The sequence below is a fragment of the Homo sapiens genome, chromosome 1 (assembly GCF_000001405.40).
Source record: "Homo sapiens chromosome 1, GRCh38.p14 Primary Assembly".
NCBI lineage: Eukaryota > Metazoa > Chordata > Mammalia > Primates > Hominidae > Homo > Homo sapiens.
In genome coordinates this window covers 50,463,210-50,482,128 of record NC_000001.11, presented here as the reverse complement: position 1 = coordinate 50,482,128, position 18,919 = coordinate 50,463,210, and the positions used below count along the sequence as shown (strand labels likewise).

The following is an 18,919-nucleotide window of genomic DNA, read 5'->3' as shown; positions in this document are numbered from 1 at the left end:
AGAGAGGTAATAGAACTCTTCTTTGTTGGTGATGGTACTTATGCAAATATATGCATTTGTCAAAACTCACAGAACTGTACATTTAAAAGGATAGAGTTTGCTGTATATAAATTATACCTTAATTTTAAAATAGGAAAATAATTATTAATTGTCCTTCCCAAAGCCATATATGATCTAATCACCCCTCTCCTTTGTTTCCACTGTAACTTTAACTCCTACCCCTCTCCCCTTGCTCATTCCATTCCCGCCACATTGGCTGCCTTGCTATTCTTCAGTCAAGCCAGGCACCTGGGCCTTGCTACTTACTGTGACTCCTGCCTATAATATACTTCTTTTAGATCTAAATATCCATGTGGAACCCTCTTTCCTTTAGACCTTTGCTTACTGAGGTTTACAGTATTTAAAATTTTACCCCTCCCCCCACCTTCTACCAGCATTCCCTGCACTCCCTCCATAGCACTCACCACTTTGTGAAAAATGATATAGTCTTGTATCACCTAAGGATGGGAAAATGTGTCATTGGCAATTCCGTTGATGTGCAAACATCCTAGACTTTACTTACACAAACATAGATAGTATAGCCTGCTACACACCTAGGCTATTATATGGTATAACCTGTTGCTCCTAGGCTACAAATCTGTACAGCATGTTACTGTATTGAATACTGCAGGCAACTGTAATACAATGGTAAGTGTTTGTATATCTAAATGTAGAAAAGGTACAATAAAAATGATAAAAAGGTACAGTACAAAGGATAAAAAATGTTGCACCTGTGTAGGGTACTTACCATGAATGAAGCTTGCAAGACTGAAGTTGCTCTGGGTGACTCAGTGAGCAAGTGGTGAGTGAATATGAAGGCCTAGGACATTACATTACAGCGGACTTTATAATCACTGTACACTTAGGCCACACTAGGTTTACTTTTTTTCTTTTTTCAGCAATGAATAAACCTTAGCTTACTATAACTTTTTTACTTTATGTAAACTTAATTTTTTTAACTTTCTGATTATTTTGTAATAGCTTAAAACACACATTGTACAGCTGTCCAAAATTTTTCTTTCTTTATATCCTTATTCTATAAGTTTTTATCTATTAAAAATTTTTCCTTCTTTTTAAACTTTTTATTAAAAACTAAGATACATGCACATTAGGCTAGGCCTACACAAGGTCTAGATCATCAATATCATTGTCTTCCATATTCACATCTTGTCCACTGGAAAGTCTTTGGGGCAGTAACACACACGGAGCTGTCATCTCTTATTATAACAATGCTTTCTTCTGGAATACCTTCTGAAGGACGTGCCTGGGGCTGTTTTATGGTTAACTTTTCTAAAAAATACGTAGAAGGAGTATACCTTAAAATAACAAATAAAAGTATAGTGCACTAAATACTAGGCAATAGGAATTTTTCAGCTCCGTTATAATCTTACGAGACCTCCATGGTTTATACAGTCCATCGTTGACTGAAAAGTCCCTATGTGGCACATACTATCTTTTCTTATGTGTGTCTTTGTTGTCTTTATCCCTACCCTACTAGAATGTAGGCTCCATTTAGGCAGAATTTTTTATCTATTTTGTTCACTGCTATTTTGCCATCATTTAGAACAATGCCTGACTCATAGAAGATGCTCAGTAAGAATTCATGGAATTAATGAATGTTAGCTTTAGCCTATTTAACACTGTGCCTCAGCCAGCTATAAACCGTTATTTATACATACTCATAGAAACCTAGAGGTTGTTTTGTGTGTATATATTTATGTATACATCTGTGTATATAAGTAAATTAAGGCAGTCTTTGATTCTTATTGTAAGAGACTGTTGTAAGTGTGTATTATTCTTTCTGTTTAAAAAATGTAACCTTGTAGTGACAGTCTTTTGTGGGTATCTATTTTCACTGCCTAATTTCACTTCAAAAAATAGCCCCATTTCTCATCCCTCAGATATGCTTTAAATACTCACATATTTTTAGTAGAAAAAAAAGTACCAGATCAGTTCATATTTCTAACTTATACCAGGTTTCCTTGTTTTATTACAAACCAAAAATAATGCAAATAAACTATATTTGTTGAGCAAATCAAACTGAAGTTTAACACTGGTGTTAACCATGACTCGTTTGAGTGTAGGTGTCCTTTATGTTGTTGTTTTACAACAGTGTTTGCTTACAGGAGGCCCTTGCTCTTAGCCAGTATGTTTGAAACTGAACTACTGATGTATTTTTGTTATTTTTTTGGCAGTAGAACTGTTGGATATTCAAATCTCAAGGTTGCTGATTTACCTCGTATCTCTTCATTGTTTTCCACATTGGTCCATTGGTGTGGGATGTATGAGGTCTGTTTTCTTTCTGGGGAAAAGCCCTGGAGACTGTATACATTGAGGAGCAGACATTGTCTGTATAATGAATGAAGTAACGAGCTACTGTTGTTTATTCTTCTGTAATATAATTGGTTGAATTCAGACAATAATGTAGCATCTGTTATACTATGCAGGGAAATGTCAAAACAGAAAGCAAGCAGACAGGTGGATTAAAGGGAGAAAAGGAGAGAAAACCAAGAAATATCACATTAAGTTCTGATTTAAAGTAGGCGAAAAGGAATAATCATAACAAAAATGATAACACCAACAGCTGTCATATGTTGATCACAGTATTACATATAGCATGAGGATCAATGCTCAGCACTTGTCACTGAGTGCTGACCAAGTGTCAGCATTTGCTAAGTGGCGTCAGGGACAGCGCCAAGATGGCCGATTAGAAGCAGAGTCTCCCATCAAAAAGAACCATAATTAGCATGTGAATCCTGCACCAGCAACCAAGTATTCAGGTTCTCTCATCAGAACTGACTAGGCAGCTGGCGTGATCCAGAGAGGAAGGTAGAGCAGTGTGGTGTGGCGGCCCACCTAAAAACATTCTGCATCTTATAGAAGGATGCTGTGAGGAAGATGTTATCGGCTCTATTCCTATGAGGAAACTGAAATTCATAAAGACTGTCATTTGCCTAATTCCCAGGATTTGAACGCATGTCTGTCATACCCCAAAACCTATGTTTCTAATCATAACATTGCATTTAATTAAAATTTTTTAAACTGCACTGTCAGAAGTCAGAATACTGACTTTGAGGGGAGGTAGTTCCCAGGAAAGGGTATGCTTCTGAGATACTTGATCAGAGTTGTAGTTTTACAGATATGTTGACTTTGAAACTTTATCAAGTTGTACACTTAAGATTTGTGCACTTTTTCATATGTATGTTATACTTTAATAAAAACTTTAAAACAATTACAAAATACATGATTTTGAACAGAAAGGATAAAGCTTTATACAATACAACACTGACTCAAATTTTGAAAAAAGTTTCAAATATATAAAATATGCCTGAAAAATTAAGGAAGAGTATCTGGGTGATGAAAAAGTTTTGGAAATAAATAGTAGTGATGGTTGTACAACATTGTGAATTTACTTAATGCTACTGAATTGTACATTTAACAATGGTTAAAATATTTTAAAAATTAGTGGATATAAACTGATGGTGATGGCTATCTTGATGGTGAATCTACAGATTAGTTTTAATGTTTTACTTTTAATCTGTTTTTTCAATGAATTTATATTACTTTTGTAATTGGGAAAAATGTTTTATAATCTCAAAAGATATGGTTGTAAAGAACCACCATTGTGGCCAGGCGCAGTGGTTCACACCTGTAATCCCAGCACTTTGGGAGACCTAGGTGGATGGATCACTTGAGGTCAGGAGTTTGAGACCAGCCTGGCCAACATGGCAAAGCCCCATCTCTACTAAAATACAAAAATTAGCCAGGTGTGCTGGCACGCACCTGTAATCCCAGCTACTCGGGAGGCTGAGGTGGGAGAATCGCTTGAACCTGGGAGACGGAGGTTGCAGAGAGCCGAGATTGCGCCATCACACTCCAGCCTGGGCGACAGAGTGAAACTCCATCTCAAAAAAAAAAAAAAAGAACCACCACTGTAACTGAGAAATAGATGATCCCATTAACAGTTTAGAAAATGTATATAACTCTAATCCACAGAGGTTTATACTTACAAGCAACTCATGGTTTCCCTTTAAGGGACACATGTGGAAAATTAATCTGAACAGTTAGTGCAAGGAGGAGTCATACCTCAGAGAAAGGAGAAGATGTTTAATTCTTAGTTACTAGAAGTAGAGGCTATGAGATTCATATTCTTCTAGCATTTATTGAACACCTAGTACGTGCCTACAATCATACTAAGCACTTTTACATATATTATTTCAGTTAGCATGTTAGTTTATTCCTTCCCTTCCAAGTGCATATTGAGCATCTACTTTGTGCTATGCACTGTATTTGGAATGAGAAGTAATACATGCTCCCATGCCATTATGGAGCTTGCAGGCTAGTAAGAAGGCCAGGCATTAAATAAATAACTATGGTACTAAATAGTGAATGCTGTAATTGACATATCAACTAGCATTTAATTTTGATATACACAGATGTTAATCCATTCACTGGGTTACTAATATATGATAATGTTACTAAAATAGTTTAATATTTGGAAATACTCAGCTGAAACTCATTGCTGTCGCAGAACACCAATATCAGGTAAACTGCTACTCATGCTATCAGAAAAAAGGGCAAAAGTGACTGAAAAAAAAGCAAAAATATATTTTTAACTGTATTTCTTATGTCTCCATTTCTGGGCATCAATTTCCCCATATAAAAAATGAGAGTATTGGGCTGTTTGACAAATGCAGCCCCTTCCAGATCTGATATTCTGTGCAGATCTCTTCATTATAAGAAAAGCAGCTATCACTGAAGCCTATTATGTGTCAGATGCCATACTGAAAATTTTATATATATATGGTCTATATAATTCCCATCTCTGTAATCCCCTATAAGGTAGGTGGTTATTCAGTGCCTCCAGAAGGAAAGTAACCTCAGTCATAGGCTAGACTAGCTTTGTCTATACATTGCAGAAATTTTGAATGATTTAAAAAAAATAGTTCAGTATTAGAACCAACCAAATTCACCTGCGTGACACACATTACCTAATTTCTTATCCATACTTGTGTCTGAGCAAACTTTTTCTGTTGGTTAAACATTTTTTAACAGATAATTTGCATAGGTCAAAATAGAAAGGCATATGCAGAAAACACCAGATGTCACCTCTTCCACCTTGTTTCCCCTACCCTCTGTAGGTTACCATTTTTGTTTCTTTTTATTTGTGTAAGTTTATTACCTCCAAAGAACCAGCTTATAAGCTGACTAGTTATATATTTCTTTTTTTTCTAAATTATTTCTTTATACTGTTATTCTCAGCTTTCCTTCCACTTATTTTATTGGTTTTTTTTCACTAGCTTTTAAATTTTTTTATTACCAGACACTGATAATTTAGCTTTTAAAATCTAATTCTTAATTCACTTATTTTTATTCTTTAATTTATAATGGCATACGAATGTTAAGGCTGTGAATTTCATCAGAGCACTGCTTTAGATGAATTTCATGGATTCTAACATGAAGTCTTTCTCAGGGTTCTAGACAAAAAAGGTTTTAGTGATTTTTATAGATTCCAATGTTGTTAGGGACCTCAGAGACAATCTCCTTCTAATGGAATGTCACATGTGAAACAATGTAATACTAAAACCTGGATTCAAGCCCACGCTAGCCATGAGACCTTCCAACAGTTTGCTTCACCTGCTTAAGTCAAATGAAGGGTTTGGTCCATCTGTAGGTCCAGAAATCAACCACTAAGATTTGGCCAAATCCCATAGCGAGTTAGTGGCAAAGCCAGAACTAGGACTGTGGTCTCCTTCTGCCAATAAACCTGATATTTGAAGTTCTTTCCATTTTTTAAAACTTTTCTTTTATTGTGGCAAAATATATATACAGTAACTTGCCATTCTTAAGTATACAATTCAGTGGCATTGATTATATTCACAGTATTGTCCAACCACCACCACTATTTCCAAAATGTTTCATCACCCTAAACAGAATTTCCTCATTCCATTTTGACATAAACATAATAATCCAGTATTCTGCAGTTACTTCTACTTGTATTTCTCAAATATAAATATATCTCTGTTTGTGTGTGTCTTTTCTGAATGCATCTAATAGCTTTAATTCATACCCTAGAAAGGTATCAATTGGGTATTTGATATGAATGTCTTTGATCACAAATATCTGAGCCCTTCAGTTAAAAAAATGCCTTTTCTGTGTAGTTTCCTATATATTTAATAATATGTGTCATCAAGGTGGAATTTATTTTAATTACTTGCCTATTGGACTAATATTAAGAAAATGAAAAATACATTATTCTATTGTTCAAGCATTTGGCTTGGCTAATAAATAGGGCAGTGACTTTTCAATGAATTTCTAGAAAACAGCAGCTTTTTTTCTGGTGTCTTCCTCCCCACTCTCCATAGTCCAGTCCTTCTCACATTTTAACACCTGGTTTTTGCTCTCCCTAGGCCATCCGGCTGTCCTTAGAGCAAGCCCTGCCTCCTGAGCCAAAGGAAGAAAATGCTGAGCCTGTGAGCAAACTGCGGATCCGGACCCCCAGTGGCGAGTTCTTGGAGCGGCGTTTCCTGGCCAGCAACAAGCTCCAGATTGTCTTTGATTTTGTAGCTTCCAAAGGATTTCCATGGGATGAGTACAAGTTACTGAGCACCTTTCCTAGGAGAGACGTAAGTTCCCATACCTATCTCAGGAAGTATATCCAGGTGGGAGATGTGCCATCATTAAAGCTGAACAAAGTAGTTCAAGAAAAGTCCCATGGTGCAGGCAACTACAAGACAAACAGGAGTCCTTCTTTGTTCTGCACACCATTCTCTCCTTAGCTTTTGGAGAAAGTATGGCTTCCCAGGCCAGCAGATATGTACCCAGTAGCCTATGTAAGAAATTAGGTACTAGATCTTCCTTCCTAGCTGTTTTCCCTATTCCAGCATTCCAGTCTTTGCTGATGTCTCATCTGTATTCCTCAAATGAGATATATCTGTAGCCCTCAGAATATACCTGAGAATTGTATGTTTAACAGCTTAACAGTTAGATATCAGGGTCAATGAATGTAGGTTCACTAAGAATGAGTCATGCAAAACAAACAGTGTTTTGTGATTTGATAGTCTTACTACCCTGGGAAGTTACAGAGGGTGACCTGTATTCACTGTGTGCTTGCATTACAGCACAATATTTGATAGTCTCTCATAGTATTCTGGGGCAAAGTAGAGAGATATAGATGTGTTAGATTCATTGCTGATTAAATGGTTGTGTCCAAAAAATGTTAACCACCATTTCCTTGTAGGGAACCAAGAGGCTCTGTATTTAATCTTTTATTACTTACCATATTTGTTGGCAACCTAAATGAAGACTTTATCAGATTTATAGATTATGAAAAATAAGATTCAAGAAAAACTTAAAATACTGAAACTTACACAAAATGAAGCTGCAGAAATTTCACAGAAATGTGTAGAAATAGATTCCTTTAGTAGAGGTTATGGTCGAATTAAGCTGAATACACGTTAATAACGCGTTGTGGCTGCCAACAAAAAAGCTAGCTCCTGTTTTAGAGGTGTAATCCCAACCAGAGATTAACTTAATGGTCCTGTTTAACTCTGCACTAAGATAAACTACCCACTGGGTGATGGGTACACCAAAATCTCACAAATCACCACTAAAGAACTTACTCATGTAACCAAATACCTGTTCCCCAAAAACCCATGGAAATAAAAAATTTAAAAAAAAAACAAACTACCCCTGAAATAGTCTTTAGGCTTCATGCTGAAAAACGAAGCCTGAAGAAATAGGAGCATGTCTGGAGCAGGGCTGGTAGGAAGGTGAGGGAGCTGGAAATCATGTCATTTAAGGAACATTACCTCTAAAGAAGGAAGGACCATGAGAGATGTGATTGTTGTCTTCAGCTACTTGAAGGCGTGCCTTGTAAAAGAGGGATCTGATTTTTTGAGGCTGCAGGGGCAGAACTGGGACCAATGAGTTGAAAGTTACACGAGACAAATTTGGCATAGTGTAACAAAGCATTTTCTAAGAAAGGAATATCTTGTGTCGTGAAGTGTTAATTTTCCTATCATTGGAGATTACCAAATACTACTCTTTTCAGTAATAACAGATATATATATGGAGAGGGATTCATCTCTGGTATTCCTGCTTTATATGGAATGGGACTTGGACTTGCTTAGCTCTGAAATATACAATAAATCTTCTGTGATTCCATTGTGATCTAGGTATAGTAACCTAGCATACCAAAACCCAGAGTTTCATTAAGGTACATCTAAGTCCCTCACATTGGCTGTCAGGTTTGCAGGATAGAGACAGAAACTAGTAATATCCCCTCTGGGTGGAATGAGGATCTTGCCACTTATTTCTAAGCCCAGGAGACTGTAGTGGATCCCAGGTGCTGACTATTGTTCCTTTTCTCACTGGCCCTGCCTACTGCTCCAAGGTCATCCCCTTTATTTGTATATAAGGCACACAAACATGCACAAGGGAACACATGCCTGCATATGTTCTTACCACACAGCCAAGTATGAAAACTACCTTAACTTCTGTCACTGAAGTTGAACTCTCAGTGTGTGAACATTTAACAAAGAACCATTATCAAAGTGTTCAAGATCAGCCTTGTTCTCATACTTTATGTTCTGTGATGAAAATCTCACCTCAGAGAACTTAAAAAACTTAGGAGCTAAGTTTGCCCTTCCCAACCCTTAGTTTTAAGTCACTCCCTTTCTGAACGGGTCTCATCTTTAAAAATGGAAGTACTGAAAGAAATAGAGTTTAAGGACTTTGCATTTTAAAATTAAACTTTATTTTCTTTCAAATTAATTTTTAAAGCTTATTACTGACAGGGATGGGGTGAAAATATCTTAAAAGGAGCTAGGCTTTTTGATCATTATTAAGAACCTCTTTCCACAGGGTAAAACTCTGGACTGTGGAAAGTTGCTGTTGAAAGGAAACTGGGGAAATGTGATGTGAAATGTAGAGTGTTCTTGGGCCTGCTACTATCTCCCTGTGGTTGCCAGCATAGTGCTTCATATATAAGCATCAGTAACTGTTGTTGAATGTTAATAACCTCAGGCTCCCCTAATCTCTGGTTCCAGAATGAACAGAGGCTGGTCCAAATGAGAACAGATGCTCTAGGCCCACCCAGATTCCAGACCTAAACTAAGAAAGCCCACCCAGGACTCTTTAGGCCTCCTAGAGCCAGGGGTGGGGTGAGAGTTAAAGGCCCTTCATTCTTCTCTGAATTCTCTTTCAAGTCAAATGACTAGTGTTTTTGCAAGGCTATTCTGTAACAGCCATCTGTGTCTGCAAGGATTAGGATCTAATTTGTAAAAGTCATCTTAAATTACAGCCAAACTAAAGACTGTTAAAAAGCACATCTTAAGGCCTTGCCTCTTTAATAACAAATAATATAAGCCTTAACTCTAGGAGTCTTAATTGTGTCTTCAGCCTTTTCTCCACAAAGCAGAGACTGGTTTCTCAGCAGAGGACCTGGTAAGTGTTCTTCTGTACCTCCCATGCCTGCCACCCGCCCCCAACCAAAACAATACTTCATGTTAAGATTTCCGAGCTGTCTAACCATTTACTAAATGTCTGCTGAGCATAATTCCCTGAACTGAGCACTGTAGGACAACCAAAATAGCCGCAGACATAGGCCTTCCCCAGAAAACTGATTCAAGTTGTGGAAGCATTGAGTTACTTGGTTTTGGGGTTTGTGTGTGTGTGTGTGTGTGTGTGTGTGTGTGTGTGTGTGTGTGTGTGTGTGTGTATGTTTTCCCCAATTTTGCTAATAACAGTTACTAAGAGAAGGAATAGTATTTATTTCCAGAGCTCTACCTCCTGGACATGTTAGAGCCGTATGTACATCAGTGGCCCATTTGCCTTACTTGGGCATTGCCTTGGAAATGAGGTAGTTGAGTCCTAAAAGCTGAGTAATGACACTCACCCCACTACTCCTCCTATAGGCCAACTCCTGTCTCTGAGTTAGAGTAAGGGATTGCTGCCAGCTCCCCCAGCTCCCCTCCAGACCTACGGTAGCCCAAACATAGGCCCTTCCCAGAAAAGCTGATTATCACTCATGCCACTTGGTAAGAGGTTGTCAGTATCCCCCAGCCTTCCTCCTCTGTGCCACTTCCTTATCTTCCGTTTTCTCTCCTCTTTCCTTTTCTACCCCTTCCCTTTTTTCCAATCCTATTTTACCTGTTTTATCTTCTCCTCCATCTTTCCATTCTTCCCTTCTCCTTATTTCTTTATCCCACAACTCTTCTTTCTGCCTACTCTTTTTCCATTTTTTGCCTACCCATATCCACATCCCTCAGAGGAGCTCTGTCTACAATTGGAAAGTGAGATCTTTCAATTTATAAAATGACTGGAAAGCACTAGGAAAGGAGGATGAGGAATGGCAGATGAACTCTAAGAGTCCACTGATAGCCCATATGTATTGCCACTGATATAATGACACAGCCCCTGTTCTAGCCTAGGGAACGTGCCTTTTTCTAGATCTATAGATATGAATCCCCAAACAGACAGACATGCATTCAGGAATAAACTGTTTTCTTATATTTTATATCTAAAACAAAGTAATGAGGGAATTTATATTTTGCCCCAGCTTTCTAGGTTTTTATCTCTGTAACTATAACTCATAATTTTTGTTTCTCCCTCTAAGACTTAAAGGAACAGGAGAATGAGTATAATCAAGCTCCAGCATGGTTTTCCTAGAGTAGACCTTCAGTAAAGTTTTGTTTAAATGTACTGGGGGAAAAGCCTTTCAAATTTGGGGTATACAAATTCCTTCCTCTGTCACCCATCCACTTTTATTATGCTAAGCACCAAGCTAAACACTGCAAACACAGTGAAGAAAAACAATGGCATAGATCTCACCCTTGTAGAATTTACAGTCTGAATCCAGAAGCTACATCTAGATGAAGTTTGACTTGACTTCATCGATAACACATGGATACTATTTGCCACCATAAGGAGATAGAAGCAGTTTAATTCGCATTTAATTCATGTATTCTCTCATTATAGCAAAACATTTGCTGTGCAACCGCTCTTGTTTCAGCCTTCATACCAGGTGCTGGTGATACAGAAATTTTAAAAAAATTGTTACTGACCTTGAAGAGTTCACGTTATAGTAAAAACACACATCCAAAACAAATTGCATTGCAAATTATACCCACAGTTAGAAGGATAAGTAATTTCAGCAGGCTGTGATAACGGAAAGTATTATAAAGGAAGTTAATTTTACCTGAGCCTTGCTCAGAGAGATGTTCAGTGAGTGGAAGCAGAATAGCAAAGTCAGAAGTAAATGGTTCAGTGGTAGTTAGTCTTGCATGTGAATCCCACTCCATCATACTGAACATTGGACAACTTACTTGACCCTGCTGAACTTTTATTTCTGCATCTTTGAAAGAGAAATGATAATATCTGACAGGGTTGTGGTAAGCGTTATATTAAGTGAATATAAATTACTATATTCATAGCACATAAAACAGTATCTGCTGTAATAATACTAAATAGAGAGAAGCAGAAGAGGTAGGAAGGGCTTACAGTTAAAGAAAATGTGGCAGCAGTGAATTCTTTCTCTAGAACAGTGATGGATATCAAATTTGAGTTACAAATATCTAGCTGTAACCCAGGCTTAAGAATATATCATTGAAATCTTAATATCTGATATTTGCAAAGGATCTCAGAGATATGAAGGCCAATGCTGCCACTTTACTGGTGGGAGAATCAAGGGAGGTAAAATTAAGCACTTAAGTCACTTGAACAATTATAAAAGCAGAGCTGATACTGACATCCAAGTTTTCTTATGACCATTGCTTTTTGAGATTATTGAGTCCTTTTAAAAACTGTTAATAAATTATAGAGTTCCATTTTAAAATTAGAGTCATAGAACTAGAAAAATCAACATTAGAGACCACCTAGTAAATGCAATAAATTGCAGCTGCAAGCACCAGTATTTTAAAATATTTTGTACTACAAAAACCTTCCTATGGTAATACCTCTAATATTGCAGTGGGATTGATTTTCAATTTATATTAGACTAAGTTTTATTTTTTTAAAAAACAAGAGCCAGAAGGAAAAACTTTAATGCAATTGAATGACTGTATCTTAAAAGCTTTGTTCTCAAAATAAGCCAAGATGAAGCATCTAATTGGTGAAATACATGTTAAAGGTACTACTGCTGAGCTTGTTCCATTCCCCTCAGTTATTTTATGTCACTATATCTGGTTATTTGAAATTTTTCAGTATCCCTAAATAATCAAGATTCAGATAAAAAGAACTATGATTGTGTAATGGAACACAACTAGTATCTAGATGGTCGCAACATTAATTTTGCCTCTAAACTTCTCTCAAATCTGTTCTTTTCTTCTCTTTCCCTCTATACCACTGCCCAAGTCGTCATAGCCCAAATTAAACCTATGGCTTCCTAATTCATCTCCCTGCCTCCAGTTTTGCCTCCCCACGTCTATGCTCCCCACTGTCTCTTGAGTGATTTTTTTAAACGGCTTTGATGATCTCTGTCTCTCTCCTGCTTAAAAGCCTCCAGTGGGTTCTAATGGCCTGCAGAAAAAGTCCAAACTCCTTACCATGGCATATAAAATCTTCAAAATTTCACACCGTCTCCTTTTCTCACTTCTTCTGATTACCTCCTCAGCACATGCATCTCATCATTAAACCACAATAAACTGCTTGACTGAAAGAAACAAGAGACCTCACTAAGGTACAAAATACATTCACAGAATTATCCCACTCCTCTTCTGTCAGCTTTGGGGGATACCAAGACAGGTGTGGTGTTAATATCATTCAGCAGATGGGGAACATGAGGTCTTGACATGAAATTACTTGCTTGAGAGTGTACATTCAATTAATTAATGACCACTGAGGACTGCAGCCCAGGCCTCTTGATTGGCTTATTTTCAAAAGTTTTGTTGTAAAGAAAACTGGTCCTGGATTATTTGACAGGACACCTGAATTTTTAGGTAGAAGTCATTTGATAAAAACTGTTTACATAATATTTACAACATTCAAAAAAAAGTAAATAGCAAAAGGTTTAAAAGAATAATACAGCTGCTGCTTAAATAGGTCTATATATGAAACTCTAATCTGACACAACAGCAACCTAATTAAAGGGAAAAATACTAGCAAGGGCAGTTTATATTTCTTTAGGTTATTCATTTTGTTTAAGAAATTTATTTTCTAAATTGTAAGTTTTAAATTTTTTAAATTTTAATTGTTGGCCAGGCGCAGTGGCTCATGCCTGTAATCCCAACACTTTGGAAGTCTGAGGCAGACAGATCACTTGAGGTCAGGAGTTCAAGACCAGCCTGGCCTACATGATGAAACCCTGCCTCTACTAAAAAATACAAAAATTAGGCCGGGCGTGGTGGCTCACACCTGTAATCCCAGCACTTTGGGAGGCCAAGGTGGGTGGATCACGAGGTCAGGAGTTCAACACCAGCCTGGCCAAGATGGTGAAATCCCATCTCTACTAAAAATACAAAAAATTAGCCAGGCGCGGTGGCAGGCGCCTGTAATCCCAGCTACTTGGGAGGCTGAGGCAGGAGAATCACTTGAACTTGGAGGGCGGAGGTTGCAGTGAGCTGAGATTGCACCACTGTACTCCAGCCTGGGCGACAGAGTGAGACTCCATCTCAAAAAAAAAAAAAAAAAATTAGCCAAGTGTAGTGGCGTGCACCTGTAATCCCATCTACTTGGGAGGCTGAGGCACGAGAATTGCTTGAACCTGGGAGGCGGAGGTTGCAGTGAGCCAAGATCCTACCACTGGACTCTAGCCTGGGAGACAGAGCAAGACTCTGTCTCAAAAAAAATACATACAAATAAAATTTTAATTGTCATATAATAATTTTATATTGTTATGGGGTACAATGTGATGCAGTTTTGTTGTTGTTGTTGTTGTTGTTTGAGACAGAGTCTCACTCTGTCATACAGGCTGGAGTGCAGTGACACAATTATAGCTCACTGCAGCCCCAGCCTCCTGTGCTCAAGTGATCCTCCCACCTCACCCTCCCGAGTAGCTGGGACCACAGGTGCATGACACCACACCCAACTAATTTTTGTATTTTTTATAGAAATGGGATTTTGCCATGTTGCCCAGACTAGTCTCGAACTCCTGGGCTCAGATGATCTGCCTACTTTGGCTATCCAAAGTGCTAGGATTACAGGCATGAGCCACTGTGCCTGGTGCAATGTGATATTTTGATATATGTATTCATTGTAGAAAGAGTAAATCAAGCTAATTAGCACATCTGTCACCTCACCTGCTTTTTTTAAAAGGTGAGAACGTTTAAAATACTCAATCCCTGCTTTGGAATAGGGAAACTGAGGCACAAAAGAGGTTAGGTAACTTGCCCAGTGTCATAGTAAATATCAAAACTAGATATAAACCTTAGGTATATGACTGCGGAGCCTGTGTTCTTAATCCTTATGCCATCATGCTTCCTGAGCCAAATAAGAAATAAATCAGTCAGGTGGATTATCATCTAGAAAAATACTTTCAAGGCTGAGCATGGTGGCTCATGTCTGTAATTCCAGCACTTTGGGATGCCGAGGAGGGCAGATCACGAGGTCAGGAGATCGAGACCGTCCTGGCTAACATGGTGAAACCCCGCCTCTACTAAAAATACAAAAAATTAGCCAGGCATGGTGGCACATGCCTGTGGTCCCAGCTACTCGGGAGGCTGAGGCAGGAGAATCACTTGAACCCAGGAGACAGAGGTTGCAGTGAGCCGAGATTGCGCCACTGCACTCCAGCCTGGTAACAGAGTGAGACCCCGTCCCAAAAAGAAAAATACTTTCAATGTGTAAATGAAGCTCAGTGTTACATATTTGGAAAGATTTCATCATCTCTGATTTATTCATCTCACCTTATAATTCCTATTTCTGGGTCACTGCCAGATGCTGGTAAAATATACTCTTAGTTGTATTTCACACCCTGTTTATCCAATACAGTTTTATTTTGCCAGCCACTCTGCTTAGTGCCAAGGAATAAGTCATGGTCCCACATTTAAGAATATTTCAGCCTCTCATACAAACAGTCCTCATACTGCAGTTCATGCAGTGGGTCCAAAGAATAGTCAAGCAAAAGGGGCAATAGATCCCTGCTGGCGTGGGTAACCAAGAGAGATTGTGTAAAAGAGATAGCAGTTGAACAAAACTGAGATAGATAGGATTTTTTGGTAGATTGTTATGAGGAGAACATTCTCCACCAGCTAGGGCAGCTTGAGGAAAAAGGTCTAATGTTGAAAAGCACAAAGCCATGTCTATATGGTAGAGTGTAGACCAGACTGGCTGAAATGAGGGGGCTTTGTCTAATAAAGTCCTGAGAAAAGGCTGAAGGGGGTTTGGGGACAGGATATATAAAACTGGAATACCAGGCGAAGGAGCTTGGCTTTATTCCACATAAAATTTGTTGAGTTACAGAATGATGTAGTCATCCATTATTATCATTACAGTAAGAATAACTACCCATACATTATTCCATAATTTACAGATTTACATTACCTGGCACATAGCAGGTGCTCAATAAATGTCAGTCCTTTGATCTCTTTATACTGGCATTATCTAAGCGCTCTCATCCAGTCTTGTGGCAATAAATGTGATATACACAGTTACAACTCACAAATATATATATCCAGTCTAAATTCTCTCCTCAACTCCAAACATTTCTACATACAACGATCTACTCAGTATCTCCACTTTGCATCCAGTAGGCGTCTCACATGAAACAGTCAGAACTTAATTCCTGATTCCTACTGTCCCCTAAAAACCTGCTCCTCCCATAGTCTTCCTTATCTGATTAAATGGCAGCTTCATTCTTTTTGTTCAGGCAAGAAACCTTACTGTTATCCTTGACTCCTCTTTCTCTCCTTTCTCCAACTCATAAGCAAAATCTGTTGGTTTTACTTTCAAAGTATACCCAGAATCTACTTCTCACTACCTCTACAACTGAACCCTAGCCGAAGCCACTATAATCTCTTATTCAAATTATTATAATGATATCCTACTGGCCTCTGCCTCCATCTGTGATCCCCTTCAATCTTGTTTTCAAAAAAGACAGCGATTTTTTTTTAATAAGGCAAATCACGTCACTTCTCTTTTCGAACCCTGTAATAGCTCCCCATCAGTTCAGAGTGAAAGGCCTTTCTCGATCTAACTTGCTGGCATTTCTCTGACCCCTCTCCCACTCAGTCATTTCCATTTACCTTGGCATCTTTGCTATTTGTACAACACCATGAAACATGTTCCTACTTCAGGGCCTTGCATTTGCACTTTCTTCTACTGAAATAGTCTTCCTCTAGATAGTGCTCATGCTCTCACTTCCTTCAGGTAGCTGCTCAAATACTGCCTTTTTATTGAGGCCTTTGCTGACCAACCCATATAAAATAATAGTCTTCCTTCCCTGCCCTCTCTGCCCTACCTTCCCCACCCTGCCAGACTGACAACCCCTATTCCTCTTATCCTGCTCTCTTTTTCTCCACTGAACTGTTCACTATCTGACATAATAGGTATATAGTTGTTTACTGTCTCCCTGCTACTAGAATAAAAGTTCTTAGAGGGCAAGAACTTTATTTGTTAACTAATACATTCCTGGCACCTAGGACAGTACCTGAAACCTAACTGACGCTCAGTAAATACCTGTTGAATGAATGAATGAATGATGCAAATTAACAAACAGCCTGTGAAATAATAATAATGCTCTCTTCTACTTATTGAGTTCCCCTTGTATGTTCCCATTATATGTTAAAGTGCTAGGAACTTTACAGGTATCATGTAATTGAATTCTTACAACAACCCTATGAGATTGGAGTATCCTTACTTTACAGTTAAGAAATCAAAAGCTCAAAGAAGCAGATTTCAAACTCATGTCCAAAACCTTTTATACCAGGCAGATATTATCTCCATTTTATAGCTTCAAAACTGAAACTGCAAATTAAGTGTTTTAACCAAGATCACGTAGCCAAGCAGTGGCAGAGCTGGCACTTAAATGTGACGGTAGTGATTCTTTCTGTTATATCTCACTGTTAACCTGGAAAGATGAATTAACATGGAATGAAGACCAAAGCCAGAAGAATAATTAAGGGTGTTGTAGTCTTTAAAATGAGATGATAGAAATACCACCAGGCAGGGGAAGATTGGAGAGATGATTGGATGTAAAGGTTACCAATGCCTAGACTAAGTATTTGGTAAATGGCCCATAGATTCTCCTGTCCTCTGTATACTTGGAGTCAGACAGATCTTTGTTCTAATGCTGGCACTTCCACCTGTTAGCTGAGGTACTCTGAGTACATCATTTCTCTTTTCTGTATTTCAGCTACTTCATCTTTCAAGTGAGGATAATGTCATGTGTCCTCACAGATAAATTGTGATGATAAGATCAAAAGTGATAATGAAAATACTTGGTAACTGGCAGAGGGCCATGCCATTTGAGTTGGTAATGGCTAAACTTCTTTAATCCATGTCCCAAAATTCACTACTTTTGACCTGTCTCTGGCCTTTTAAAAAATAAGTTTTTAGACACATTCTTCATTCTTAATATGACAGTGACTTGCACTTTGCCAGTTGCATTATAACAGACTCTTCCTTGGAAGAAAGTCCACTGTTTATTGCATTCCCCTTAGTAAAATGCAGTAAAAATGTGTTCTGAGTCTTGGCAATGACAGGGAGACAGCATGATGATATAACACAAAGAACCAACTATTAGGGGGGCCTTGGGCAAGTCACATAACCACACTAAACTGGTTCTTTCACCTGTAAAAGGCAGATAATAATAACCACCTTTGCGCTGGATATAAGAATTAAGTGAAGGCCAGGTGCAGTGGCTCACACCTATAATCTCAACTCTTTGAGAGGCCAGGGCAGGAGGATCGCTTGGGCCCAGGAGTTCAAGACCAGCCTGGGCAACATAGAGAGACACCCCCATCTCTATAAAAAATAAAAATTTAAAAATAAAGAATTAAGTGAGGTAATGTGAGGACACAGACATGGCACATGGTACATTCAAGACATGTGAGGCTTTAAGATGTGTAGACCTTGTGCTGGGAAAGAATAGCACAGCTCACCAACTAGACCTACCTCTGGGTGTATAGGATGACATCACACCATCTCACTTTCACTCCTACTTTCCTCTAAGGAAGCATATTCTGTCTTCTCTCAACATTACTTTTTTCCACAAAGCAAAATCCTCTCAGCTAGGGTTACATGGAAATGTGACCAAACATCCAAGAAGTTTTGAGTGACTTTTGTTGGTAGAATTTTCTGCCTAGTTTTAAGAACAGTTGGGCCTGAGCCTTCCAAGAGGTGGTGGATCTCCGATGTGAAAGTTTTCTTTGAAATTTTTATGGCTGATTTCAGGACCTCTTCAGTTTTTACAGCCTTTTCCAGCTTTCAGTTAGACAGAGGAATTAACAATTACTAATGTTCTGTTCCACGCCAGACCTTGTGCAGACATTTCAGAAAGTATTCTGTCATTTAATTTTCATTCAACCCTAAAGCATAGATAGTAGTCCTATTTTACAGGTTAGACAACTGGGGCTAAGAGATATTAAGTGCTATTTCCAGCACCACACACATAGTAACTGAGATAATTGGGATTCTAACCTCCAAAGTCTATGCTCTTTACCCTAAACAGAAAACATTTTCATATAATGTGTTGGGGGTCCCCAAGACTATCTCTAAGTTCAGTGATTTCCTGGGAAGACTCACAGGACTCAGCATATAATCACACTTGTGGTTATGAGTTGTTACAGCAAAAGGATACAAAGCAAAATTATTGAAGAAAAAAGGTACATGGGCAAAGTCCAGGGGAAACCAGGCACAACCTTCCAAGGGTCCTCTCGATGGAATCATACAGGACGTGTTTAATTACCTCCAGCAGTGATTTGAGACAACACATGTGAAATGT

General features: G+C 38.3%; 1 protein-coding gene and 1 long non-coding RNA gene across 10 annotated transcripts in view, besides 1 other annotated feature; one reads left to right on the top strand and one right to left on the bottom strand.

Annotated features, from left to right (window-relative positions):
* FAF1 (Fas associated factor 1) overlaps positions 1-18,919 on the top strand; it is a 523,240-nt gene that overhangs the window by 478,139 nt on the left and 26,182 nt on the right. For all 5 annotated transcript variants that reach the window (NM_007051.3, XM_047442745.1, XM_047442743.1 and 2 more), the window contains one exon: positions 6,450-6,665. In NM_007051.3, coding sequence (NP_008982.1) covers positions 6,450-6,665 — 216 coding nt within the window. The remainder of the gene's footprint in view (positions 1-6,449; positions 6,666-18,919) is intronic.
* Positions 8,326-8,526: a silencer, noted in NCBI's record as "peak214 fragment used in MPRA reporter construct". NCBI's record gives its function as "represses an SCP1 promoter by STARR-seq MPRAs in K562 erythroleukemia cells {active_cell/tissue: K562}" and the evidence as "EXISTENCE:reporter gene assay evidence [ECO:0000049][PMID:32103011]".
* The window catches only part of FAF1-AS1 (FAF1 antisense RNA 1), a 29,669-nt gene continuing 21,722 nt past the window's right edge, over positions 10,973-18,919 (bottom strand). For 4 of the 5 annotated variants that reach the window (XR_007066079.1, XR_001737633.3, XR_007066077.1 and 1 more), the window contains 3 exons: positions 12,585-12,691; positions 11,240-11,395; positions 10,973-11,068 (listed from right to left, as the gene is read on the bottom strand). This is a non-coding gene — a long non-coding RNA (FAF1 antisense RNA 1). Of the gene's footprint in view, positions 11,069-11,239; positions 11,396-12,584; positions 12,692-18,090; positions 18,164-18,919 lie in introns of those variants that run through there. The other variant, XR_007066078.1, reaches the window with a different exon arrangement.